The sequence below is a fragment of the Homo sapiens genome, chromosome 8 (assembly GCF_000001405.40).
Source record: "Homo sapiens chromosome 8, GRCh38.p14 Primary Assembly".
NCBI lineage: Eukaryota > Metazoa > Chordata > Mammalia > Primates > Hominidae > Homo > Homo sapiens.
In genome coordinates this window covers 37,476,185-37,503,260 of record NC_000008.11, presented here as the reverse complement: position 1 = coordinate 37,503,260, position 27,076 = coordinate 37,476,185, and the positions used below count along the sequence as shown (strand labels likewise).

Here is a 27,076-nt window from a genome sequence, read left to right as displayed (position 1 = left end):
GCTGGGATCTTAGCCCCTCCTACTGCGGGTTTAATTACATTTTTATGCACTTGCATGTTCTCTCCCCAACAAGAGGGATTACACATTCCTCACAGAGAAAACACAGTCCTAGGAGGAGACACAGCAGCACACGGAAGACAGTGAGAGCTCAGCAGGCTCATTTTTCTGGCTCCTCTGAGGCTCCATCCTGTGCCTTTTCCAGAATAGGTGCTCAACAAGTATTCATAGATTGATGGAGTCATTGCTTGAGAGTTCAGAAGGCTGTAGGAATTTTCAGTGCCCTCAGCCTTGCTGGCGTCCAAGGCCTGTTGGTGGGGCTGGCGTTGGATTGTCCCCTGAGTAAGCTGTTGGAAGCCCCTTTGTTGTTCCTCATCTTGTCATGCTTCTGTGACTCAGCCTTGCCCTCCAGCCTCAGATACTTCTGGGGCTTACACCCTCTTGCCTTCTCCTGGGAGATACTACCTGGGCTGGTGGTGAGTCTGAAAGACCCGTGCACTCTCACTCAACCTTGCCTGCCCCTCCAGCCCTGTCCACATGATGGGGGGAACACTGGGCTCAGCATCAGAAAACTTCTCTTCGAGTCCCCTGAACCAGTTGAATGACTTTGGGGAAATGGCTTAGTCTCCTGGAGGCTCTTGTCTCCTCATTTGACACCTCCTGGGCTTGTTGAAAGGGTCACCTTGTTTTAGGCATTTTAAGTGTGATATATTGTATATGTATGTATGTATGTTATATATAAAGTGCTTTTTTTTTTTTTTTCTGAGATGGAGTCTCGCTCTGTTGCCCAGGCTGGAGTGCAGTGGTGCAGTCTCGGCTCACTGCAACCTCTGTCTCCTGGGTTCAAGCAATTCTTCTACCTCAGCCTCCTGAGTAGTTGGGATTACAAGCGTCCGCCACTACGCCCAGCTAATTTTTGCATTTTTAGTAGAGACGTGATTTCACCACATTGGCCAGGCTGGTCTCGAACTCCTGACCTCAGGTGATCTGCTCACCTCACCCTCCCAAAGTGCTAGGATTACAGGAGTGAGCCAACCTGCCCGGCCTAAAATGCTTTTAACTGTAAGCAGGATCATACTGTACATATAATATTGAAACTTGCTTTTTCATTAAAGAACATTTTTAAACATGCATTCATGATAGTATCAGCAGGCATATCTCATTCTTTTTAATGAATGCACAGTATTAATCTTTCATTTTATGGATGAACCAGTTTAACCTATTACCTATTGATAGACACTTAGGTTGATTCCAGCTTTTTTTTCTATTACAAACGGTGCTTCAATGAGCATCTTTGTACAGTGGGATAAATTCACATAAATGAAATTTCTGGTATGTAGGATTTGTGCCTTTAGAAGTTTGATGGATATTGCTATATTTGCTTTCCAGGTTGTCCTCATTTATGCCATCAATCTAAACATTGCGTTTTTTTTGCATGTGTTCAGTAAATGCCGTGGAAGTTGGTCTTGACAGTTTATCCAATTATTAGTGTGATTCAACTACCCACTCTATTCAGGGGTGATTCCACCACGTTCTGGGGTGTGTGATTTAAATCCCCTCTCTGCCCTCACTCGCTGGGGGACTGTGGAGAGTTTGCTTGACTTCCCAGAGGCAGGACTTCTTAGTGGAGATGACAGTACCTCTCTTGAAGAGTACACTTGGGGACCTAAGGAATGTTTGTCAAACTTCTTGCCCAGTGCGTGGCACTGAGTAGGTACTTAATATCCACTATCATCATTCCCTGAAAGAGTGGCTAGCTCCCGCTACCTGGTCTTTATGAGAGAGGACAGCACAGTTTGCCAAAGGACTCAGAGGGACAACTGAGGCACAGGTCATCACTGGCCTGAGTTTGTAGTGGCAGAAAAAGAACTCTTAATTTCCTAGACTTCAATTCTCTTTAGGGCAGTAACTTTGTTTTCTACTTCTTTGTATTGCTGTCAGTGCTGAGTCTGGTGTCTGGAACGTAGCAGGTGCAGTTAGATGTTCAGGGTGGGAGGCAAGCAAGGGTATTGACCAGGGACCAGCTTGCTAGAAGGAGGCCCTGCAGAGGGAGAGTGTCATATTTTAGAATCATACACATTAGGATATGTAAATTATACATCTCACTTTTTCTTCTTTAGAGAGTTTCAGAAAGAAGCTTCGATGGGAGTTGAAAGAAGGGAGAAATAACAACACAGCCTAGGCATAGAAATCCCCTTTTAAAAATTGCCTTTGGGGCCAGGTCATGAAGCCGGGAGGAGGAAATCTGGGTGCTGTGTGGGAAAATGTGAGTAATTGGCACTCGGGGTGGAGTGGGCGCTTGTTGATCCCGAGTGGAACCTTGGGCTCTCTGGATGTGGTATTTTGAGCTCCCTCTCTCCCGCTGGACCTGGCGCTTCTTGTCTCTGGGGCACACTGCTTACTCCTCCGGCCTTTTCTTACTCTATTTTTGGAAATGGTGTCCTTCCTTCCCCTACAAGAGTCATCCTTCCTGCCCTGCCTGGCCACTCCAAAAGCATCTGGTGTCAAGAACTCTATCCGAAAGACTTGATCCCTGATGCCTCAGGCTGCCAGTGCCTCAGGCTGGCGGGTCACAGACACAGGTGGGAGAGGAGGAGGCAGGGCTGTGCCCTGGGGCTGGGAGTGACTGGGGATGGGGCCAGATGACTCAAGTTATAATCTGGGCCTGACCTCGGACTTCTCACTGTATTGTACCTCTCTGTGCTTCAGCCTTCCCTTCTGTTCAACACAGTCAGACCTGCCCTCGCCTGTTCACGAGAGAGCCAAAAGGACAGCTCAGTGCTTGATACCAAAGCAAGAGAAATCGCAGGGAGGAATTCCCTCTGTCAGTAATTCAAGAGGGTGTGTTGCATTCATGCCTCTTATGGGTCCTCTGGGGTTGGGAAGATGTGCCACACAAATAATATTCCACACAGAGGGCCAGGCCTTCTGCCTGCCCACACCTAGTTTATTCACAGAGGGCCAGCTCTGAATTCCTTCTCTGTCCCTTCTTAGCTGTATGACCTTGAGCAAGTTACCTCGCCTCTCTGGCCAGAGTTTCTTATGGCGAAATGAAGATAACAACAGCACCTCATTAGGCAGTGAGAGGATTCAGCATTATTATTATTATCTTTGATACTGCATAAAAATTTCATTTCAAGGCAGATTTACCTCACTCAGCCTACGGTCAAAAAGGCTATAGACTATAGTTTTCTATAGAGCATGCTATATGCTATAGTACATGGTATGCTGTGAATGCCAAATGCTATGGAGCATGCTATATGCTATAGTATATCTTATGCTATGTTATATATGCTATATTGCTATAGACCATGCTATATGGTATAGTATATGCTATGCTGTGTATGCCAAATGCTATAGACCATGCTATATGCTATAGTATATCTTATATGTTATATATGCTATATGCTGTAGACTATGCTATATGCTATAGCATATCTTATGCTATGTAACCTATATGCTATAGACCACACTATATGCCATAGTATATGCTATGCTTTATATGCTATAGTATGTGCTATGCTATATATGCTCTATGTAATAATCTGTTCTAATGCTGCTAATAAAGACATACCTGAAACTGGGTAATTTATTAATGGAAAGAGGTTTAATGGACTCACAGTTCTACATGGCTGGGGAGGTCTCACAATCATGGCAGAAGGCAAATGAGGAGCAAAGTCACATCTTACAGGGAGGCAGGCAAGAGAGCTTGTGCAAGGGAACTCCCATTTATAAAACCATCAGATCTTGTAAGACATATTCACTACCATGAGAATAATATGGGGGAAACCACTCCCATGATTCAATTATCTCTACCTGGCCCCACTCTTGACATGTGGAGATTATTACAATTCAAGGTGAGATTTGGGTGGGGACACAGCCAAACCTTATCACTATATGCTGTAGACTATGTTATATGCTATAGTATATAGTATGCTCTGTATGCTATATGCTATACGTTATACATTAAGCTATATGCTATAGTATGAGCTATGCTATATCACAATTCTATATGCTATTGACCATGCTATATGCTATAGTATATGCTATGCTATGTGTGCTATATGCTATAGACCATGCTATATGCCACAGTATATACCATGCTTTATATGCTATAGTATATGCTATGCTATATACACTATATACTACAGGCTATGTTATATGCTATAGTATATGTTAGGCTATGCATGCTATATGCTATAGACCATGCTATATGCTGTAGTATGAGCTATGCTATAAATGCTCTATGTTATAGACTATGTTACATACTAGAGTATGTGCTATGCTACATGTGCTATATGCTATAGAACTTGCTACATGCTACAGTATAGGCTATGCTACATGTGTTATATGCTATAGACTATGTTATATGCTATAGTATATGTTAGGCTGTGTATGTGATAGACTATGTTACTATGTTGTGTGCTATAGTATGTGCTATGCTACGTGTGCTATATGCTATAGTCCATTCTCATGCTGCTATAAAGAACTGCCTGGGACTAGGTAATTTATAAAAGAAAGAGGTTTAATTGACTCACAGCTCTGCATGCCTGGGGAGACCTCAGGGAACTTACAATCATGGTAGAAGGCACCTCTTCACAGGGTGGCAGGGGAGAGAATGAGTGCCAGCGGGGGAAATGCCAGACACTTATAAAACCATCAGTTCTCATGAGAACTTACTCACTAACATGAGAACAGCATGGGGGAAACTGCCCCCACGATTCAATTACCTCCCACTGGGTCCCTCCCATGACATGTGGGGATTATGGGAACTACAATTCAAGATGAGATTTGGGTGGGGACACAGCCAAACCTTATCAGCTATAGACCATGCTATATGCTATACTATATGCTATGCTGCATGTGCTACATGCTATAGACTATGTTATATTCTATAGTATTAGATTGATGTAAAAGTAACTGCGGTTTTTGCCATTACTATGGCATATAGCATGGCCGATAGCATTTGGCATACATAGCATAGCATATACTATACCATATAGCATGGTCTACAGCAATATAGTATGTGTAATATAGCATATGCTATATTATATTCTGCCATTACTTTCAATGGCAAAAACTGCAATTGCTTTTGCACCAACCTAATATATGTTAGGCTATGTATGCTATATGCTATAGGCTATTCATATGCTATAGTATGTGCTATGTTACATGTGCTATATGCTATAGACTATGTTATATGTTATAGTGTATGTTAGGCTATGTGTGCTGTATGCTATAGTATGCTATAGACTCTGTAGAAATCTCTACGCTTTCAGTGGGAAGCTTGAGGAAAGGAAAGGTCTCTTTGGTTGGCAGTAGGCTCTTTCTAAACTATATTCCATCTGTTCCAGTCCATTGCAGTCCATCTATGGCATCAATACCATTTAATATGCTTTCATTGAACACTTAGTGTCGTGAGTCAGGAAACCCAATGACTTTCTCTGGATCGGCCTGAATCCTAGAGCAAGAAACAGGCTTGGAAAAGGCAAATCAGAATTAAGGTACTGCCAAAGAACTTGTGAAGGAAAGAGCAATAACCTCTGAGCTCCAGCTTCTAACTCAAGCCCTGTCTGGGCATGGACCAAAGGCTCGGGCCCAGAGTTGAAAGAGGAGCCTGGTCTCTAAGCAACCTGTTCACGTTGGTTTGGCTTTGAGATGAAAGCGAAGACATGGATTCCACTACTGGGCGGCTGGGTTCCTCTCAGGCCTTGGGCATGTGAGAGATGAAGTTAGTTGTTCCTCGGTTCTTTTACTCCTACCTCAACTCCATTTGAAAAAAGATATAGGCTTTTGCATATGTTACATGCGTGCATACACACACACACACACACACACACACACACACACGAATCCAGAGGAGAACAAATTAGCAAATGCATTAGCCAGACCCAATCTGTAGGTCTGTTGTAAAGGAGTGAAGACCCCTGTGGCTTGAATGTTGGTGTCAGCACTATCAAGTGTTGATTGAGTTTTGGTCCCAGCAGTAAAGAGCATGTGTGAAATTCAAATACAGAATTTCAAACCCTTGAGCACTTCCTGAGAGTCTCAGCGGCTTTAATAAGGGAAGGGCATCTCTTTGATGGTAAATGATTATCTTTCACAGTGCAAGCACAAACTGGATCATAATTAATGAATTTGATATATGTTCTTCCTTGTCATGGATGGGAGCTGGCATTTAGTTTCTGTTTATCTACATCTCCATAACTTTATATTCCCCTTTCCAAGGGGGGATGCTACCACATTGCAAATGAAAGGTTATATATTTGTGAGTTCTTCTGTAGCTTAGCGAGTAGTTGGGAGCGGATCATTTTTCTCACTCTCCTTCTCTTCCTCCCTCTCTCCTTCTTTCTAGTACCAATTTTGCAATTTATGAAACACATGATGGCTTCCTAGAGCTGCTTGGCTATTGCTGAGCAGGCCAGAGTTCCTGGTGTAAGGTGGAGAGGAGTAACATGTTTCTTGATTTGGCCCAAGTGCGTTCTCTCACCATCCTTTATTCTTGATCTCATTTCCCCAGCATCTTTCTTCTTCGTGGCCTTCTTTCCTTAGGGGGCAATCATTAGGGGTGATGAGGGTTGAATTGATCCCTAAAGAGGACACATAATAAGTCTTTCTGGTGCTGAAGACGTGAGGAGAGCCACCATATAACCTGATTCCTGTGTCTCCTTCATTCAGCAAATATTTTTTTGAGGAACAGGAAGACCACCAAGGCAGTCCCTTCCCTTTAGGAGTTATGGAACCTGCCTCACCTATCATTCTTCACCCTTCAGCCTTTGTCAATGTGGTCCACTTTCTCGCTTCCCACCTCACATTGAGTTTAAGGCATCCCAGATGATTTACTTCTCTCTGGGATGGACACATAGGCTTCTACCCAGCCTTCTTTGGATATGGCCAAAGCCACAAATCTATGCCAAGGAGAGTAGGTCTCCTTCTAGACCAATCTCAGGAGAAGATAAGGGGCATTTTTCCAAAGGTACCGAGTACACAGTAGTTGCACATAAGTATTAATTTAATCCTGGTTGTCAGGCAAGAGTTGGGGCTACAACATTACCCCACTCCAAGCGGCAAAATTCACGTGGCTGTCTGTGTAGAAGGCATCATCTGGTCTGGAAAAGGCATGGAATTGTGTGTGGTGTGTGTGGGTTCTCCACCTGTGGGAGGCCTCAAAGCCAGTACCACTCACCTATTGAGACAGACAGGGAGTCAGTGACAGGTGGGGCATTTCCCAGGAAAACTGGCAAGGAGAGGCTAACTGAGATCACCGAGTAGGGAGCGGTTATGGAGATCAACTCAGTCATGCAAGGCTTGGGCTTTTGTGGGAGGCGTGGCTGAGTGAGCCTGGTCCCTGTGATTGAGGGAGGCCAAGCCTACAGGAGGACACCAAGGGCCTTACCTGTGGGGCCTGGAGTGAGACATCTCAATGCATGGGATTATGCTGGGGCGGGAGTGGAATCGTGAGGCCCTCCTAGAATCTCTGCTGGTGCCTAGAATCTCTGCAGGGAGGAGCAGGTGTGTGGTTAATTGGTCCAAGGAGCGCCAGGGTGATTTGACTCAAAGAGCCTGGTCAATTTCTGCACCTGAGCAGGCCTCTGTTGCTCATTTTCTATGATTCCCAAAGTACCAGCCAAAGCTCAGTTTGTCTCACAGGCCATTTAGGAGGCCCCTGCGACTCTCCGGGTCCGCCTGCCACAAATCTCTTGAGGGCATCACTGATTTTGGGAAGACGGGATGAGGAAGGTGGACTCCAGGTCACCTCTAGCACCAGACCACTCCAGGGCAGGATGAAGGGAAGTTGCACAAGCCACCCAGTCCTTGCACTCTCTTTGGCTGATGGAAGTGCTCACTTGTCACCATGTGGGGTGTGTGAAAGGCTGGGGAAGATGTAGACGGCAGGGGCAGGCGCTGGCAGGCAGGGTGGGGTGACACGGGCCCTGTCTGGCGGTGGTGACAGCCTGGGTACCTGCCTGCAATCTTGCCCCACTGCCTGCCCGGCGTCTCCTTGTTCCTGACAAGCTGCCTGTTCATTGAGAGGTGTGGAGAGAAGTTGTAGTGAGGACTTGCTGGGGCTCCTAGGCCTGCTTGGTGCTCATCCTCTTAATCAGAGGGAGGCTGTGCCCAGCCTGCCTGTCACTGGCCTGACATGCAGGGCCTGGCTGTGGGCCTTCTGTGTTTGGACTTTTTATTTTCAATTTTTTTTTTCCTTGAGAAAAGAAGGATGGAAGAGGTGGCCTGTAATTGGACTTGGGGAGTTCATTACCTGTCAGAGGAGGTGAAAGCTAGGCCCGGAAGAGAAGCACCATTAGCATAAATGTCTGTAGCAGACCAAGAAAGAGGCTTACTTCTCCCAGGCCCTTCCTGGTCAGGGAGAGCCTCCGGGTTGAAGAGCGTGGGTGCCTTGGCTGCCAGCTGTCACGGGTGGTGCTCCTGCTGGCCTGGCCGCCCCCTGGAAATCAGGTCCCCAGGAGTGCTGCCCCCTCAGCCCAGATGCTGCAGTCTCTAGAAGAAAGCAGGAGGGATGCACTAAGGTCTACTTTAGGATGCGTCTTTCCTGCTCACTCCCCTATACACACTCACACACACTCACACGCACACACAGTTTCACACACACACTGACACTATCACACTCACTCACACTACACACACTCGGACACACTCACACACACAAGCTCACACTCACATACCCTAACACACGCACACACACAGTTTCACACACACGGACACTATCACACTCACACACTACACACACTCTGACACACTCACACACACAAGCTCACACTCACATACCCTAACACACTCACACACACACATATTCACATGCCCACCCACACACTCACACACCTACAGTCTCACACACACACACACAACTGCACACACACGCAGTCACACACTTTTGGACACACTCACACTCTGACACATACGCTCACACTCTCTGACACACACATTCACACACCCACACACTGACACACACATACACTCACAGTCACACACACACTCTGACACACACATTCATACACCAACCCCCACACACGCTCATACTCACACTCTTGTGTGCACATGCCCGACCTCCGGAATCACAGTACGGCAGGGCCCCGAGGCACTTGGGTTCACCCGTCACAGCTTTCTCATGGGCACCTGGACTGAAGAAGGGAGGGGACTTGCTGAGGGACCCATTTCTAGTTAGAGATAGGGTTGGCTGCACCCCAAATCTTAATCTTGGGCTTAGAATGGTGTCTGGGATTCTGAAGGTGCTGTTTTACTTCTTTCTTCCTCAGCCAATACATTTCGGCCCACAGATGTGACTAAACCCCGTACTTAGAGATTTATTCATTCTGACTCAAGCTTAGCTCACAATTATACAGCAAAGTCTCCTGGGAGGGTTTATATGTTAAGCTCTGTCAGTAATTTCTCCCCTAGCAAGAATGAGGAAGATGAAGAGCTCGGGTATCTGAGGGCTGGTGTGTCTGCATGCGTGTGTGTTTTGGGGGCCGACTGAAGGAAGAGAAGGCTGGAGAGAGGGAACATGGGTCTGAGGGCACATCGCTAAGGGGTCAAGAGGCCTAAAGGAGGAGTCTAAGGCTCTCCATCGAACTTGGACTTGGTCTACATTAGACTTTAACCTCCATGAGGCTTGGACTTTCAGGCTTCCTCCCTCACACCGCGGGCAGGTGAGGCGTCTGCTACAGGCCTGGTCTCGCAGAGGGGGCCCAGCGCCCCCCGCCGCCGCCTTCTCCTGGAGTCTGTGTGACAGAATGGGACCTGTGGGAAAGCAGCACGTCAGCACCCAGCCCCGCTTGCGCGCCAGCAGCTAATTAAAGCCAGGAAGGTAATTTATTGCTTAGGGAGAATGTGCGGGAGGTTTGGCTGAGCTGAAATGGCCCCCGAAGAGTTATGGAAAGCTAAAGTGGGTTTTCAGAAGCAAAAGTTAATTGCTCTTCACTTAGCATTTCAGTGTCATGTGGCTCTGAGTTACACACGCGGAGTGGAAGCCTCTATCCAGGCAGGGGACGGAGGGGCGTGCTGGAGCCGGGCCTCCCCAGTGGCTGCTGGCGGCGGACTGAAAGTGTCACCACCCCTCTCCCCGCATGGGGCAAGACGGTGCTGGCTCCCTGGACTCTCATCCCCAGGTCCTGATGGGACTAGAAGGCATTTGTGTATTGAAGAGTTTTTGTGTCGGGGAAAGAGCCCTGGTCAGGGAATCTAGTAACTGCGGGAGGGGGTGGGGCGGGGCTCCTAGTTCCGTCAGGGCAGAACTAGGAGCTTCCATCTCTTTTATTCAAAATTGTTTCTGAGTCCAGGATGTTGGGTCAAAGAGAAGTGAGAAGTCCCCACTTCTTTCGAGAATGACTTGGCCAGCTCAGAATGAGATCAGAATCCCAGTGAAAGTCTGAATGGGCTGAACACCAGCCAGGGATGGCACTTAGGTTATGTTCTGATCTGCCTGTGACTTGGGGGAGTTCCTTCCGCTCTCTGGGGCTCCCTTCTGTTTAATGATCGCTAAAGCACATCATCACTTCTGGCATCCGGTCACTTCTCTGAGACTGTGATTCGCCTCTCTGGGTCTCCTCGTGGATACCATTTATGCTGCACGACCCATTTGGCAGAGGGGAAGACTGAGGTCTAAGATACCCCATACCCTGACAGAGTATATGGAAGATATGGGAGTGACCTGACTCTTAGCTGAAAGTAAATAGATTTACCACCTAGAAACAGAAGCTTCTTGGGTCCTAAAGTATCTCCTAGACACTTTGTGGGTGATGTGATTACTATTCTTATGGGTAATAGCGTTTGGGGGAGAGGGTTAAAAAGCTTGAATCTGAGACCCTCCAGCCAGAAGGGTGAAAATTTCTTTCATTGGGAAAGGGGGCTCATGGAAAGGGAACAGCTGCCTTGCCGAGGAACCACTGCATCTAAAGGCAATCATTATCCTAACTATAGGTGTGACTAGGATTAGGTGCTAAACATTTAAAATGACTTCTACTGGTTGTGCTTAAGGAAGTGAGTGGAGAGGCTCCCATGTGGTCTCCTTGCCACATTTAGGAGGACAAGGGTAGTGCGCACCAGTGGGAAGGTAGGGGTTCTGCACTTAGATTTTCAGCCTGGGGTAGTTTATAGACAGTAACTCTTTCTGGAGATACAGTGAGGTCCCATCTCACTGAGGTGTTGCCTTCTAAAATCAGTGGAGAGGCAAGAGGCTCGCTTGAGCCCAGGAGTTTGAGACTAGCCTGGGCAACATAGCAAGACCCTGTCTCTACAAAAAAGTAGAAAATTAGCCAGATATGGTGGCGCGCATCTGTGATCCCAGACACTTGGGAGGCTGAGATGGGAGGATCGCTTGAGCCCAGGAGTTTGAGGTTACATTGAGCTATGATCGCACCACTGTATTTCAACCTGGGTGACAGAGTGAGACCTTGGAGGGATGCATTCAGTCAAGTCAAAAGTATTTCAGAGAAGTCTTATATTGCAGGGGCTGCTCCTGGAAACTGGAAAATGAAGAATTCTTGTTTGTTTTTGTCAGCATTCCTATTCTGTTGTCCTTTCCCTGGGAGTAAAGGGTAAGGTCTAGTTTAATGGGGGTGGGGTGATGGAGATGGTGAAAGTGATGGAGGAAACAAAGGTGTCACTCCAGTGTATTGCCCCAGTGCATCTTCAGCTGAAGTCTCGGCCAGGCGGTGTGGCTCATGCCTATAATCCCAGCATTTTGGGAGGCCGAGGTGGGCGGCTTACTTGAGGTCAGGAGTTCAAGACCAGCCTGGCCAACATGGCAAAGCCCTGTCTCTACTAAAAATACAAAAATTAGCTGGGCGTGGTCATGTGTGCCTGTAGTCCCAGCTACTTGGGGGGCTGAGGTGGGAGAGAATCGGTTGGACCTAGGAGGCAGAGGTTGCAGTGAGCTGAGATCATGCCATGACACTCCAGCCTGGGTGACAGAGTGAAACCCTGTCTCAAAAACAACAACAACAAAAATGCAGTTGAAGTCTCACATAAGAAACGCATATTTTACTGGTCATTCTGCTGACCCACACTGGGACCAAAGATCTTAGGCCGAGTGTCCGCAGATAATATAAGCTCAGTGAGAATTTTTAAATAAATGAGTGAATAAAAGTTTTTAAAAAAACTTTATCTTATGTTTTCTTTCCATTGTCTTGAGGACAATGGAATTGTATGGATACATACTTTGTGGGCAAGGTTGAGTACAGTCATGTCTGTGGTTCAAGAACTATCCTGAAAATAGTTAAGCTTTCTGGTGACAGGATGTGACACCCAACCGAAATGCTTTAGCACCTCACACATAATATTAGGGCTCAGGAATAAATCATAGCAGTGTTAATCTGAGAGTGTTGGAAATGAGATTGAATTCCCTTTGCACAAGCCATCTACACGGCAATTTGCACTGCATGCCAACATTATTGAAGCTTCTTTTTAAAGCTTCCCTCTCTTTTGTTCAAAATTGTTTCTGAGTCCAGGATGTTGGGTCAAAGATAAGTGAGAAGTCCCCATTTCTTTTGAGAATGACTTGGCCAGCTCAGAATGAGATCAGAATCCCAGTGAAAGTCTGATTGGCTGAACACCAGCCAGGGATGGCACTTAGGTCATGTTCTGCTCTGCAAACCCAAACTCCCCTTAGCTAAACAAATGGTCACTCTGGTATAGGCTTGAATAAGTACAGATGAAATGGTTTTGGGGACACACATATATATATATGTGTGTATATATATATATATGTGTGTGTGTATATATATGTGTATATATATATGTGTGTGTGTGTGTGTGTGTGTGTGTGTGTATATATATATATATAATTTATTTGTTGAGACAGGGTCTTGCTCTGTTGCCCAGGCTGGAGCACAGTGGCATGATCACCGCAACCTTGAACTCCTGGGCTCAAGCCATCTTTCCATTTCAGCCTCCCAAGTAGCTGGAAGTACAGGTACAAGGCACCACACCCAGCTAATTTTTCATATTTTTTTGTAGAGATGGGGGTCTTGCTATGTTTCTAGACTGGTCTCCAACACCTGATCTCAAGTGATCCTGCTGCCTCGGCCTGCCAAACTGCTAGGATTATCAACATGTGCCACTGTGCAGAGCCAGGCACATGATTTTAGACTAGCCACTGCATTTAGGAAAGTCCCAAGTGCTAAGGAAATACAAGGCCCCTCCCGCAGTCATTCTGAAATATTTCGAGTGTGAGCAGCATTTGCCCAATGCAGGCATCTTGTATTCTGCCTGGATGGGGGATGGGAGGATTCTCTTTGGTTATCAGGTTGCAGTTCCAGGCCAGTGGCTCCCTGTCTTTCTGACTCCATGACAGACTTGGACATCTGGATTCACTAGTTTGGGGACTTGGAGCATAGAGTAAGGTGGCAGGGTCCCCATTGGCAAGATGAGGGTGGTAGTGCCTGCATGTGGATGCCTTTGTAAAGAGCTTGGTTTCTGTGACAATGAAGCTGGAGAGACAGTGGCCTCATTTTCTTCGGGAAGGAAATCCTAATATCTTGTTAAGACGGGATGAGAGTGGAAGTGAAAAGCATCATTTAGATGAAGAGAACAGGGAAAAGGGAAGGGGATGGACCTACCGATCATTGCACCCTTCTAGGTAGAGAAAGTCTTGCATAGGGCAAAGGAAACATTGTGAATTAACAAGGTTAAGAGGCTTTTGGAAATCAGGTTTTTTTTTTTTTTTTTTTTTTCCCTCCTGCGATATACAGACCACGGTTCAATCATTCTAAACGAAGTGTGCCTCCTCTCTCCTTGAAGGCTTCTGGGGAAAAAGCTCCAGAACCAAATCTCCACAGAATATGTCCACACTTTAAAGATTTTACAGCTTCATCTACAGATAATGAAATTGAATCCCTTAGCTAGAGAGTGGACAGGCAGCAGGGAACTCAACTCAGCACAGTGCTTCTGAAACCTTTTCACTCAAGTGAGGGCAGAGGGGGTGGACACTAGTCCCCAGGGATTCCCTGGCCTGAAACATCTCAGTGTAGGTGTTAAATATTTGAAGTTTAGTGTTTAATGCTAAAAATTCTTCCATGTTTTATATGCTCTATCATCACACATCTGTATTTTAATATAAAAAAAGTTTTAAATTACCATCAGGAAACACATAATGGTATATGTATATTTCTTAGCTTGCTCAGTTGAAGGGAAAAAATCCAGTTCTGCACTGAATCCACCTTGGAACGCTGAATTTAGAAGAGCAGGAGGTGTTATTGGGCAGGTCTCTTTGCTTTCTGAGAATCAATAAAATGGCAACCATTTTTCACTAATTTTTGAATTGAGTCAGGGTGATAACTAAGGAGAGATGTCCTGAAAATCCTCCCTTTCTTGCTGCAAATACCAGGAGATGGCACATTCAAGGTGCACAGAGCCTTGGTGAAGATCCAGGTCTGCCTGTCATGGTTTGGCCTCACCTGTGAGCAGGAAACTGCCTTGTGTTTATTCCAGGGCCAAGCTGGGTCACCTTAGCCCACAACTGTGTAAACCCCAGAGTGTGGGCACTACAATACAAATAGCCTAGCATCACTCCATGTGGCTTCCTTATCTAGCTTTTTTCAGTGGCGAATTCCATCTTTGAAGGAAAATAATGGTGGCGAGTTTCCTTCTGCAGCCGATCTCAGCTCTCACCTATCCTGTAGTCCACTTCTTCATGGTGTTTTTTGGAGACATTTGCAAGGAATCAGAAGCAAGACTCATCACTGAGTTCCAAAATGCTGCTGATGGTTATCTTTTTCTCTCCTGGTGATGCCTCATGGTCAGGGGGATTCAGAAGTCCAGGATTGAAATGGCATTAGAATAGTCTTCTCTCCATGTATTAGCCCGTTTTCACACTGCTGAGTAATTTATAAAGAAAAAGAGGTTTAATGGACTCACAGTTCCACATGACTGGGGAGGACACACAATCATGGCAGAAGGTGAAAGGCACGTCTTATATGGCGGCAGAGAGCAGAGAATGAGAGCCAAGCCAAAGGGGAAATCCCTTATAAAATAATCAGATCTTGTGAGATTTATTCACTACCATGAGAACAGTATAGGGGGACTGTCCCCATGATTCAATTATTTCCCATGAGGTCCCACCCACAACACCTGGGAATTATGGGAGCTACAATTCAAGATGAGATTTGGGTGGGGACACAGCAAAACCATATAACTCCACTTCCATTCCATTGCCCAAACTGAAGATGGGATGGTGGTGAACCAACTGCTGCTTGGGCCTGAGATGGGATTCTGCCCTCCCCTTGCCCAGTTCTTCATTTTCCTCAGAACCCTTGGAGTTCTGTTTCCCTTTAATATGCCTCATGCTACCTCCATTGTCTTTCTTTAGTCTGAAGTTTTAATATCCCCATCCTTATGTCTCTAAACAGGGTAATGCAAGCAAGCAGGGATCAGACCCATACTGTGTGGGAGCGGACAGCTGCTGCAATGGGTAACTCCATGTTCACTCCATGCTGGGTTTTCATACGTGGGTAGATTTATCTTTGTAGTGTAACCTTACCCAGCTCTGAAAAAGACAGCACCAGCCCATTATTGTTCCATTAGTAATGACTCTAAACTCAAGCTATTTAGCAGCTGCTGATGGGGATGGGAGATGAGAGAAGAAAGAAGAAAATAAAAAACAGATGCTTTGCTGGTGCAGGCTCCTCTGTAAATGGGCATAGCTGGCAGTGGCTCTAGAAACACAGGCCAGTTGTATCTCCAAATTCTGGAGCTTCAGTGAGAGCAGCTTCCTCTTTCTCTTTAAACGAGAACTTCTTCTGTGGAGCAGCAAAGGACCCACAAATAACTGAGCTGTACTTTGGAAATGGATCTGATGAGTCTTTTAATAGAAGAAAATCATCATTATTTCCCAAGAGCTCACATTCCCATAACATTTTTATTAGCAGCCTCTCTTCTAAATAAACTTCAGTGGATTGATTTTGGTGGGGTTTTCTCACTTGAAATATTCCCTTAAATAATGACTGTGGGTATAGGCTCATCATCACTGTAGTTATTATTGTGATCAGCATCAGCAACTCCATTGTTATATTTATGTAGCACTTAGGAAGCTCTCAGAACACTTCAGGTATATTACTTCATTTGTCCTCATAGCATCCTTGTAAGGAAGGGAGGGGGCCCCATTAGAACAACACTGAGAGGAGACCTCTTCTCTCTGTGCCTCTGTAAGTCAATCCTCCTTTGGGGTGTGGCCAGGAGGAAGCCCTCTGTCCCCCTCTTCTGTATATTCCCCTCTGTCAATATAAGGCAGAGGGAGATTGCTCCAGGGTAAGTTACAGCCACCCGGAGGCTGGAGCCCTTAAAAGGCTTGGCTCAGGGTAGAGCAGAGGACACTGCCAGTGGAACAGGGGAATGGCTCTTGGAAATCACCCTGACTAACTGGCCCCCGACTTGCCCTTTTGTCTTGCCTTGGTCCCAAGAGGCCAAAATTCCTACAAGAGAGTGGCACCATGAAAGAGTGCAAAGATGCTGGCTGGGAATCAGAAGATCTAGTTCAAATCCCGGTTCTACCACTTGTTAGATTTGCTTCTTGGGCCAGTCTCTTAACATCTGAAGCTTCATTTCCTCCTTTAGAACAGAAGAGAAATTGATCCTCCTTTCTGGGATTTTGTGAGGACTAAATGGGATAACCTATATAAATGTGCCCGGCATAATGGATGGGACATAGTTATGCAACAGACGTTCATTCAATTTCTTCATTTAATTTTTCTATTCTGGTAAAACCTAAACTCTCTGTCCAGTATGACTTTGAGAACTAAGAGGGAAAATAACACAATTTGGATAGGTTTATCTTTTTAGTCATTGTCTTGTCAGAAATCATGTATTTTCTTACCTATACTGTATTGAGGAAAAGCTAGTGACTCATAATTAGTATATATATATTTTTTCAATTCCAAAAGTCGTAAGAATAATACTTTATTTTCATTACAATAAAGACATCTTACTAAAAAAAGATCAGCGCAAATGCAATAATAACAAAGAATTGAGGGCAACTGATTTAATTTGGTTAAAAAATGGGAGAGGAGACTAAGGGAGAAGCATCAGAAACCCAAATTCACACCCTACAGCCCCAGAAGAGCACTGTAGTATTGAATTTAATATATGGAACTTCCATTTTGGAAGTTTATTACCTTACAGTAATAAATTAGGTTTCTTTTTTTTTTTAATTTTAATTTTTTTATTATACTTTAAGTTCTAGGGTACATGTGCACAACGTGCAGGTTAGTTGCATATGTATACATGCGCCATGTTGGTGTGCTGCACCCATTAACTTGTCATTACATTAGGTATATCTCCTAATGCTATCCCTCCCCCCTCCCCCCACCCTACAACAGGCCCCAGTGTGTGATGTTTCCCTTCCTGTGTCCAAGTGTTCTCATTGTTCAATTCCCACCTATGAGTGAGAACATGAGGTGTTTGGTTTTTTGTCCTTGCGATAGTTTGCTGAGAATGATAGTTTCCAGCTTCATACATGTCCCTACAAAGGACATGAACTCATCTTTTTTTATGGCTGCATAGTATTCCATGGTGTATATGTGCCACATTTTCTTAATCCAGTCTATCATTGATGGACATTTGGGTTGATTCCAAGTCTTTGGGTGGGGACACAGCCAAACCATATCACTCCACTTCCATTCCATTGCCCAAACTGAAGATGGGATGGTGGTGAACCAACTGCTGCTTGGACCTGAGATGGGGTTCTGCCCTCCCCTTGCCCAGTTCTTCATTTCCCCCAGAACCCTTGGAGTTCTGTTTCCCTTTAATATGCCTCATGCTACCTCCATTGTCTTTCCTTAGTCTGAAGTTTTAATCTCCCCATCCTCATGTCCCTAAACAGCCCCCTGGCTGCTCTGCTGACCACATCTCCAGGCTAGCACTGTCTTGGGAAAGTGTGTCATTAGCTACTTTGCTAATCCCTGCAAGTTATCCTTTGCAGTAGAGTCTGTGCACTATACAGATTGGTAAAGTCTTCTGAGGAACCAAATCTCCTTGAACATGCCCTCAGCTAGGGGCAGTCCAATGCTGGTGTTCCTTTTGCATTATCCCAAGAAGCAGAGGGAAAGTCTTGGAGGGTGAATAGTTAGGGCATTTCCTCATGCAGGCTTCCCTGTACACAGACACATCAGGAAGAACACACAACACAAAGAAGACTTTCCCTTGCACAATTCACCCATACCTTATTTTCCTTTATAGTTTTATGAAACAAAACAAAGTCTAGCTGCCTTTTGAGTTCAATTCAATTGAGTGCTAACAAAGGCAACTCACCACACTGAGCACTGTGAGGCTATCACAATGAATATGACTGTGTCCCTATCTCTACTCAATGGGGCTCACCATCTAGGAGGAGAGGTAGACAAACATATAATTAACTAAGATAACAAGGCAGATGGTCAGGGGTGCTTTTATAAAGTCCCTAAATACGATGGGAGAATACTTCCAACTGGAAAAGAGATTTCATCAAATCTTTGTTAGAAGATAGCTAGGTCTTGATTTGGACCTTAGATGATTGGTATAGTTGCAATAAAAACACATTAGAGGATGGGGAAGGCATTTAAGATAGAAGAAATAGTTCAAGGCAAGGCAGCGAGAGGGGAAAGTTTCCTTTATTCACATTGAAGTCCATCCTTGTTAACACATACACAGATAAACTACAAAAGCCAGCTTCCTGCAAAGCATTCTGGGGTGGGAGGAGGGAAGTGCTGGTTGGTGCTCACTTGTCCAAAGGGCCCAGCACCTCTTAGAGGTTTCTGGTCTCATTGCACATTATTGCCTACTTTCTCTGGACCAAGAGTATACAGATTCTGAAATGCACATTCAGTTTAGCTAGAAAAATTATAAGAATGGAAAAGAAGTGCTCAACTGAAGGATGATTGGAAACCTTAAATGTAAATATCATTTAAAAATTAATTTTCATACTCTTCCTCTTTTGAAGGTAATGTGCTTTGAAGTGGAGCTGGAAGGAAGTGATGTTTTCTTGACTTTGTCCTTGCCCATGCCAGACATCACTAATTGAACCCAGCATGCTTTCCCCCTGAGCTGGGCCTCTTGTCAGACAGAGTGCCCTGAGGTATTCCAGGCAGTCCCTGCTATTCAGCCAGTTGTGTTATACCAGATGAAGCCTCTTTGCCATTTTCTGTTTAAAGTCTTAAAACTTTACTACTATCTGAAATACCAAGTAGCTTTCTCATGAAATACAAAGACTTAAAGCAGGGAGAAATTTTGTATCATCTAGCACCTTGAGAATTTCTAAATATAAATGGAAGTTGCGGAGGGGGCTTTAAGACTAATATAAAGATGTTCTCACTCTCCTGTCCTCCCTGTGATTTAATAGTATAAATATGAGGTTGAAAGAGGCAGGAGATATGTGAAGAAATATAAAATACACACAGAAAAATAATCATTGGCTTAGATCAACAGTTCTCAACCTGGATGTACATCTGAATTGCTCACTTGTTTAAAATGCAGATTCCTGGGCCCCATTTTAGACTAAATCAGAATTTCTGGTCTTGGAGCTTGGAAACACCATATTTACCAAACATCTTAAGTAATTCTTCTGCACTATTCCTGAGACCAGCCAATAACCTATGTTTGGGAACCAGAGACTTAAATGACAGAAATATTTCAGCCCTTGTTTACGTCTTTGGATGGTTGGCCAAAAATGCCATATTCATTTCCCATGGCTGAGCTACCTTACATTCCATGGTGTTCCAGATACTGAAAAACTGCATTCATTTGCATATTGGAAATGAGTTTGCAATTTCCAAAGGGATTGGCCATTTGGATTAACATAAGTCATGCTTCATGGAGATCAATCTTTAGGATGTGTCTGAATTATCTTGCATCCATATTGTTTGGGCTTGGTTTTAAGAATTAAAGAAGAGAGAAAAGTAGTTTATGTTGACCAGGAAGATAAATTATCCTGAAATTTCTCGTTGTCTCTGTTCATTTTGTGCTGCTATAACAGAATACCTGAGGCTGGGTAATTTATAAAAAATATGATTTATTTCTCACAGTTCCGGAGTCTGGGAAGTCCAAGATCATGACACCAGCATCTTGTGTCTGATGAGGCCTCTCTTGCTGCATCCTCATATGGCAGACAGTAGAAGGGCATGTGGGGCTGAACATTGTGGCCTCACATGGCAGAAGGGAAAAAGAAAGTGAACTCACTCCTGCAAGCCCTTTTTATAGTGGCACGAATCCATTCATGAGGGTGGAGTCCTTATGACCTAAGCACTTCTCATTAGGCCCCACCTTCCAATAGTACTGGACTGGGGACTAAGCTTCAACGTAAGTTTGAGAGGGGACAAAAACATTCAAACCATAGAACTGGTTATGTGGTCAATATTTGAGTTTACTTGACTTTTGGAAAGTTAGAGTCATAATAATAAGTATCATATATTGTACATCTATTCTGCACTGGGCACTTCACTAGGACAAGATATACATTGTCTAAAGCAGTTTTTAAAATAATCCTATGAAGAAATGATCATTATTTCCAGAAGAGGAAATTTGGGTTCAGAAAATTTAAGTAACTTTCCTTGAAAGACACAGGATATGGATGTGATTCTTTAAAATTGTCTGACTCCAAAATGTTTATTCTTATTTACTACATTCTAAATTCTGTTTCCAAGAAATACGCTGTTTAGTGACATTGCTGGGACCAAAATCAAGCTCCATAATTAGTTGCAAACTTCAAGACATAACTGAGAAGGACGCTTACTAGATGTAGTAGTAGTGGTCTGTTAAATTCTGGTGTTCTCATTGACTTGATAGAATTTCATCAAGTTTAGCACTAGGCCTATTATTTGTCTACTTTTTTATGTATAAAGTATGTTAAACTGTGTTAGGATTAATTTCAGTCCTCAAATTTATATTTTGGCAAAGTTAAAGGCTCTTCCTTACCCTGTTGTTAAAAAAGCCCCCAAAACAACCAATGTGGTTCTTACACATGTGGCTTCCCATGTGTATGAGCAACACATGTTCCACCGAACATGTTTCCATGGAACAACCTGGCCACTCCTCCTGTAGAGTGGATTCTGGGAAGCGTACATGGAAAAGGACCCATCTGGTGCCCACTAGACTGAATGATCGTCCAGTGTATGAAAGAGTGCTAGGCCAGATGCGGTGGCTCATGCCTGTAATCCCAGCACTTTGGGAGGCCGAGGTTGGCAGATTGCTTGAGGCCAGGAGTTCGAGACCAGCCTCGGCAACATGGCGAAACCCCCATCTCTATCAAAAATACAAAAATTAGCCAGGTGTGGTGGTGTGCCTGGGAGGCTGAGGCACGAGAATCGCTGGAACAGAGAAGGCGGAGGTTGCAGGGAGCTGAGATTGTGCCACTGCACTCCAGCATGGATGACTGAGCATGACTTTGTCTGAAAAAAGAATGAAAGAAAGAGAGAAAGGAAGAAAGAAAAAGAAAGAAAGAAAGAAAGAAAGAAAGAAAGAAAGGAAGGAAGGAACTCTGATGAGTAGTCAGGAGGTTTGGTTTCTTGGTAGCTCTGCCACTCAGTAACTCTGTTATCTTGAGCAAGTCATTTTACCCAAGACAAAATGATCTCTGTGTGTGACGGCACACACAGAGCCCTTTAGCATATTTCTTGGAGAACTATCTGATACAAGCTGTTTCCCCACTTTCTAGAACTCAGATCTGCTTCTCACCATATTCATGTTTCTACAGAAGTCCTGTGAGTTAGAAGGCCTCCGTTTCCATGCAAATCTTTTGGACTAGAGGCCATAAAGTTATTTACTTGATCTAATATGTCATGACTCTTGAAAAAAACGTTAGCCAGGGAGCTGGCAAAGAGACCGATGGGGCCTCATCAGTGGCACTGTTGTCAATGTCCTCACCAGGTCAGAATGGTCAGAGGGTGGGCAACCCAGACCGGGCTCCTGAGATGCCTACTGTCCCCTGACCTCTGGCCTGCCTCCTTTCTGGCCTGAGGTTGTTACATTCTTTTCTTCTCGGGAGACAGTTGTAGTGGATTGTAGTACTACATTCTTTGATATTTCTTGTTGGGGTGAAATCTTCAAGCAAAAAGTTAAGTAGACCCCTTCATACATAGCTCATTGCTTTTGGAAATGCTGGTGACCCATCACACCCCACCCTTCCCATGGGCTAGAACAGCCTGGGCTGCTTGGGCAACAGTATCACTAGATGATTCACAGGGATTTGAACCTGAAGGGATCTTATCAAGCATCTAGTCCAACAACTTTATTGCACAGATGAGAAAGAAGCCCCAAGAGGGAAAATGACTCAACTCAAGGATACCCAGCCAGTTAGTGAAGCAGTTGACACCCCATTTTCAAATTTATATTGTAAGCATAATAATAAAATCTACCCCAACAGAATTATTGTGAAGGTATTTAAATGAGATGGCACACACAGAGCCCTTTAGCACATTTCTTGGCATAGAGAACCATTTGATACAAGCTGTTCCCTCCCTTTCTAGAACTCAGATCTGCTTCTCATCATACGCATATTTCCATAGAAGTCCTATGAGTTAGAATGAGCAGATTTTATCATCCTTTACTCTGCAGAACGCCAACCCATACAGGAGTAAGCTGAGCTGCCCACGTTTAATCATGCGCTAGTGGCAAAATCTGACTTGGCCCATGTTATGTATTAAAAAAATGTCTGGGGTTACTGAACACTAGAACCCATTCCTCCTGACTCTTAATCCAGTGGTCTTTCCATTATACCATGCTGATTGACAGGCGGGGGGGATGAACTCCTTTAAATTGCTGTGAATACCAGCATGGTGACAGATGACTGCGAACACATGAGGCCACAGCCCCAGAATGTCCTAAGCCTGTCAGTGTAATTTTATTATCACGCATTTATCAAGGCTACCATGTGCATGCAGGAGCTTTGCTTACTGCTGAGATGAATATAAAAATGAGTAGTAAGATACAGCCCCTGCCCTCAAGGAGCACTTAATTTGATAATAAAGACAGACTTGGACATAAATAATTCCAATGTAAGGCAGATAGCAATCCATGACTACTCTATATGTGCTACAAGGGAGTACAGGGATTAAGACCTCACCTGTTGACATGGTGAGAGTGAGGTGGGCTAGGGCAGGGCATCCCTCCAAATGTCTCCATCCAGCTGAAGGGGCAGGGAACACGCTTCTTGGTCCAGTTGGGACTCCAGCCTCGTGAGCTCCTTGCCTCTGACTGCGGGAGAGCATAGCTGGGTCACTGTCTTGCCTTCTTTAGCCACTGCAAAATGGGAGAACATCCCCTTTCTTGCTCGGAGCTTAAAGGGAACTGGGTGGTCATTTGGTCTAGATCTCTGCTTCTGGGCAGGACTGCCCTCACCCGTGCTGACATGCAAGAATCTGCACTCCATATGCAGAACAGCGAAACATTATTCTTTTTCTCTCTTCTCTGTGTTTTGGTGGTGGAAGTGGGGCGGGGGTTGAGAATAGTGTAGGGGAGAAAAGAGGGGAGGTAAAGGGAATTGCAGGTCGATACTTGACAAGGGGAGTTGGGTCACCCAGGGAAAATATGGCCTTGCTCTCCACTGGCAGATTCCCAGAGAAGCTCTGACTGTTCCCCACCTGTCCTGTGCTCCCCCTGCCACCCGCCCAGTGCTGCTGTCCCTGCGTGCAAGGAGCAGGGAGGCGATGATGAATTTCCCCCGAACGGCATTACAGACAGTCATAAATAATGCTTTGCTCTTTGGTGACGGCACTTTCCATTAGAGCTGCCTGCGCCGGGCTGTTGCTACCCCCAGTCTTCTGCCGGGGACTTGCAGTAAAATTTATCAGCGAGCTTTCTGCACCTAATAAATCATCCCCTCCGGGAGCCATCTGGCAGATAAGGCCATGAGAACCCACATGCTCTGCAGAGGCGGAGTCAGAGTGAGAGGCGGCCCTAGCTGGGTAGCCCCAGGCCCTGTTGAGGGGGACTCTCTTTCTCTCCAGCAGCCTGGCCTGTCAGACTCTTCCTGGCTTATCTCATCAGACTGAGGATGGGGGCCCTGGAGAGGGCAGCTGCTCCAGCTCCCTGAACCGTGTGGCTTCCCACTCTGGGGCCAGGCCTACAGATCACCTCCTTCTCACACTGTCTACACCCAGGTGTCCAAAAGGTCCTGGGGTCTGTCACCAGGCCAGAGCAGGGGTACCCTAGGCCAAGACAGGTGCTGTGATGGGCATGACTATTGCCAAAGTGAATGCTCCTTGGTGTGTTCTAGAGACATGAGTATTGGCCAGCATCAAACAATCTCTTAGTGATAAGTAGCTTACTGTTTGGATGGAAGGCATCAAGGGGCACCTCTTAATGCAGGGCGATACTTCACATGTCTATCCCCATGTTTTTTGAGCAGCAACTACCATGATCTTACAGATTTCTTTCCAATATGTATTACTTTCTGTGAGTGCACGGTATGGGAGGTTCTAAAGGGTGCTGGACCTAGAGGGTAGAGTTGCTTAGATCAATGATCACAGTTGTTTCCTTAAGGCATTTACAATCTGCTTGGAGAGCCTAGCTTAAAACCAAAGTCTCAGATGTGGTGATTGTAGTGTTCACTCTCACAGCAAGACACAGTGCTTGCAGGATATGACCTACAGCTTTGTGGGATGCACGAGTGGTTGGGTTTCTGGTCTTCTAGTCCCAGTACCTAGCACAGTGCCTGGTGTGTAGAAGCACCCAGTGTATGTGTGTTGAACTGTATTGAGGGACATGTGGCAGGGGGCAAAGTGCCTGATACAGTTGCCAATACAAAGTAGAGTATGAGAGTGAAATGAAAAACAGCCGAATGAAAACAGCATCATCATCCCCAGGCCATAGCAGAGTGTGTGCCCTGTTCTTTAGGGTTAACTGGGTGATCTAGGAATGAAATCCTTTTCTGGGCATGGATAACCTGTGCTCCTGTCCTGGCCCTGTGGCGAGCTGCCTGAGCTTGCTCAAGGTATGCTCTAGCCTCTGTTTTCTCATTTGTAAAACAATAGGCCAAGACAGGGCAATTTTTTGGAGGGTAATTTTCAGTATTATTACTATTAGAATACTTCCTCTTTTTTCCCTTGCTGGTGCCTGCTTTTGTTTGAAGGACAGGAGGCTGGAGGGGTAAAGCCAGGAAGAACTCTTCTCTTTTCTTCCCTCCTGGGCCACTTCCCAGCTGAGATAACCTCGTAGAAGGTCCAAATATGGGCGCCATGCAGCTAGAGCTTGAGCATCCTGGAGTTCTTCCCTGGGGGCTCATTCTTTAGAAGGACACCTATCATGCTGCCTCTGATTGCTGTGGACACATCCCGGGAAAACATTAAATGGAGTGTCCCGAAGATGCTTAGCTTAGCTATGCATTTAATTTGGCGGTAATTGAAATTTGCCAACAAAGATTTGCATGTAATCTGCGATTCCGTTTTTCAATTAAAATTGCTTTCTTCTTGTGGATGGGAAGTACTTGGCTTCTTTCCTCCTCACAGCACTTTGCAAACACTCATCCCTCACTTCTTTGGGGGCTGGAGAGAGGGTAGGGGTCTGGGGCAAGGAGGTGGAGTCTGGCAGGACAGTGGTGCAGGAGAGGCCAGTGCTGGGGGTGAGGCTGATGGATAAGAGGGAGGGTGAGGGCTTGAGCCTCCCTTGTCTGCAATGGTCTCAGAAAAGGAACCCCAGCTGGGACTTCAAGATCTCAGTTTCTAGGGGTCAGACAAGGGTTGGGGGACTGGGAGGTATAGTCAGAAGTGGGGAGAGCCAACCAGTTCTCCATGACCAGACAAAGCTAGTAGTAAGAAGCCAGGGACAAGGCACCAGGCTCAGGTCCTGGGATGTAGGAAGTGTCTTTTCTCTTATCTACCTCTTCTCCTCTGGGTGAGTGTGGCCTTTGATAACGGTGAGCAGCAATAGAGCTCCTGGGAGAAGAGAACTGATGGAAAAGTGTCTTCCAAGGATGGCTGGAGAGGGGAAGGGAGGACAGGAAGCAGGGGCTGGAGAGGGGAAGGGAGGACAGGAAGCAGGAAGCAGTAGGCATGAAAATCACACCTACCTGAATGGGGGCTTGGAGAAGCCAGCTGCTAGGGTCTGAATGTTTATGTCCCCCCTCCCATCCCCAAATTTGTATGCTGACACCTAATCCTGGTACAATAGTATTAGGAGGTGAGGATTTTTTGGAAGGTGGCAGAGCTCTCATGCCTAGGATCAATGTCCTTACGGAAGAGGCTTGAAGGAGCCCTTTTGCCCCTTCTGCTGCATGAAGATAGAAAGAAGGCACCATCTATGAAGCAGTGGAAAACCTTGGTAGACACTGAATCTGCCAACACCTTGATCTTGGACTTCCCAGCCTCTAAACTGTGAGCAGTAAATTTCTGTTATTTATAAGGCACCCAGTCTAAGGTATTTTGCTATAGCAGCCTGAGGACTAAGACGCCAGCCCACTGGTCTGTGAGAGTCCTGAGGGCTGGAGCTGTGTCGTCATGACCCCTTTCTATGCCTGGTACCTAGCATGGTACCTAGCACATGGTAAGAATGAAGTTTGTTAAAATGAAAAGTTGATTGAATGTGATAATGTGAGTGAAAGGGCATTTTGTAAATTGTAACAGCCATTTTTGGTACTCTGACAGTCTTACTATTTCTGAAAATAAGATGGGGTATTTGACTCAAGGCTGAACTGATTCTGGGCTGAGCCCTGGGTAGGGTAGGGCCCCGGAAAAGGCCAAAGGAGGTAGAGGAGGTGCTCCAAGTTCCTGACTGGAGGCCTCTCCAGGAGCTGGAATTTGTGGTGCTTTGCTGCTCTAGACCCAGGTCCCACCAGGTGCCCCAGCTGGGGAGCACTTTCCGGGTCTGGGCCCACCCCCTTGGTGGTGGTAGAAGAATCAACATCCGCATCAGGCTGGCAACTCCACCATGCTGGGACAGGCACCAAGAGGGTTTGGTACAAAGAGAGCCAGTGAGGGGACTTGCAGGAGAGGCAGTTTGGTTTTCGTAGCCAGGTTGGAGGTGGAAATAAGAACCATTTGAAGAATTAGTGGCAGATTTTAGCTGCAGTGGAGGGTGCACAGCTTTGGACAGGGCGAGGGTCCTTCTCACCACCCCAGCAAGTCTTTTTTTGTCTATTTCTTTCAAGTGGAGATAATCCCTT

General features: G+C 45.5%; 1 long non-coding RNA gene across 8 annotated transcripts in view; it reads left to right on the top strand.

The window, feature by feature from the left end:
- LINC01605 (long intergenic non-protein coding RNA 1605) overlaps positions 1-27,076 on the top strand; it is a 196,324-nt gene that overhangs the window by 96,579 nt on the left and 72,669 nt on the right. For 7 of the 8 annotated variants that reach the window (NR_170189.1, NR_170193.1, NR_170194.1 and 4 more), the window contains exon 1: positions 9,395-9,823. The exons of the other annotated variant lie outside the window; for it this stretch is intronic. This is a non-coding gene — a long non-coding RNA (long intergenic non-protein coding RNA 1605). Of the gene's footprint in view, positions 1-9,394; positions 9,824-27,076 lie in introns of those variants that run through there. 8 annotated transcript variants of the gene reach the window in all.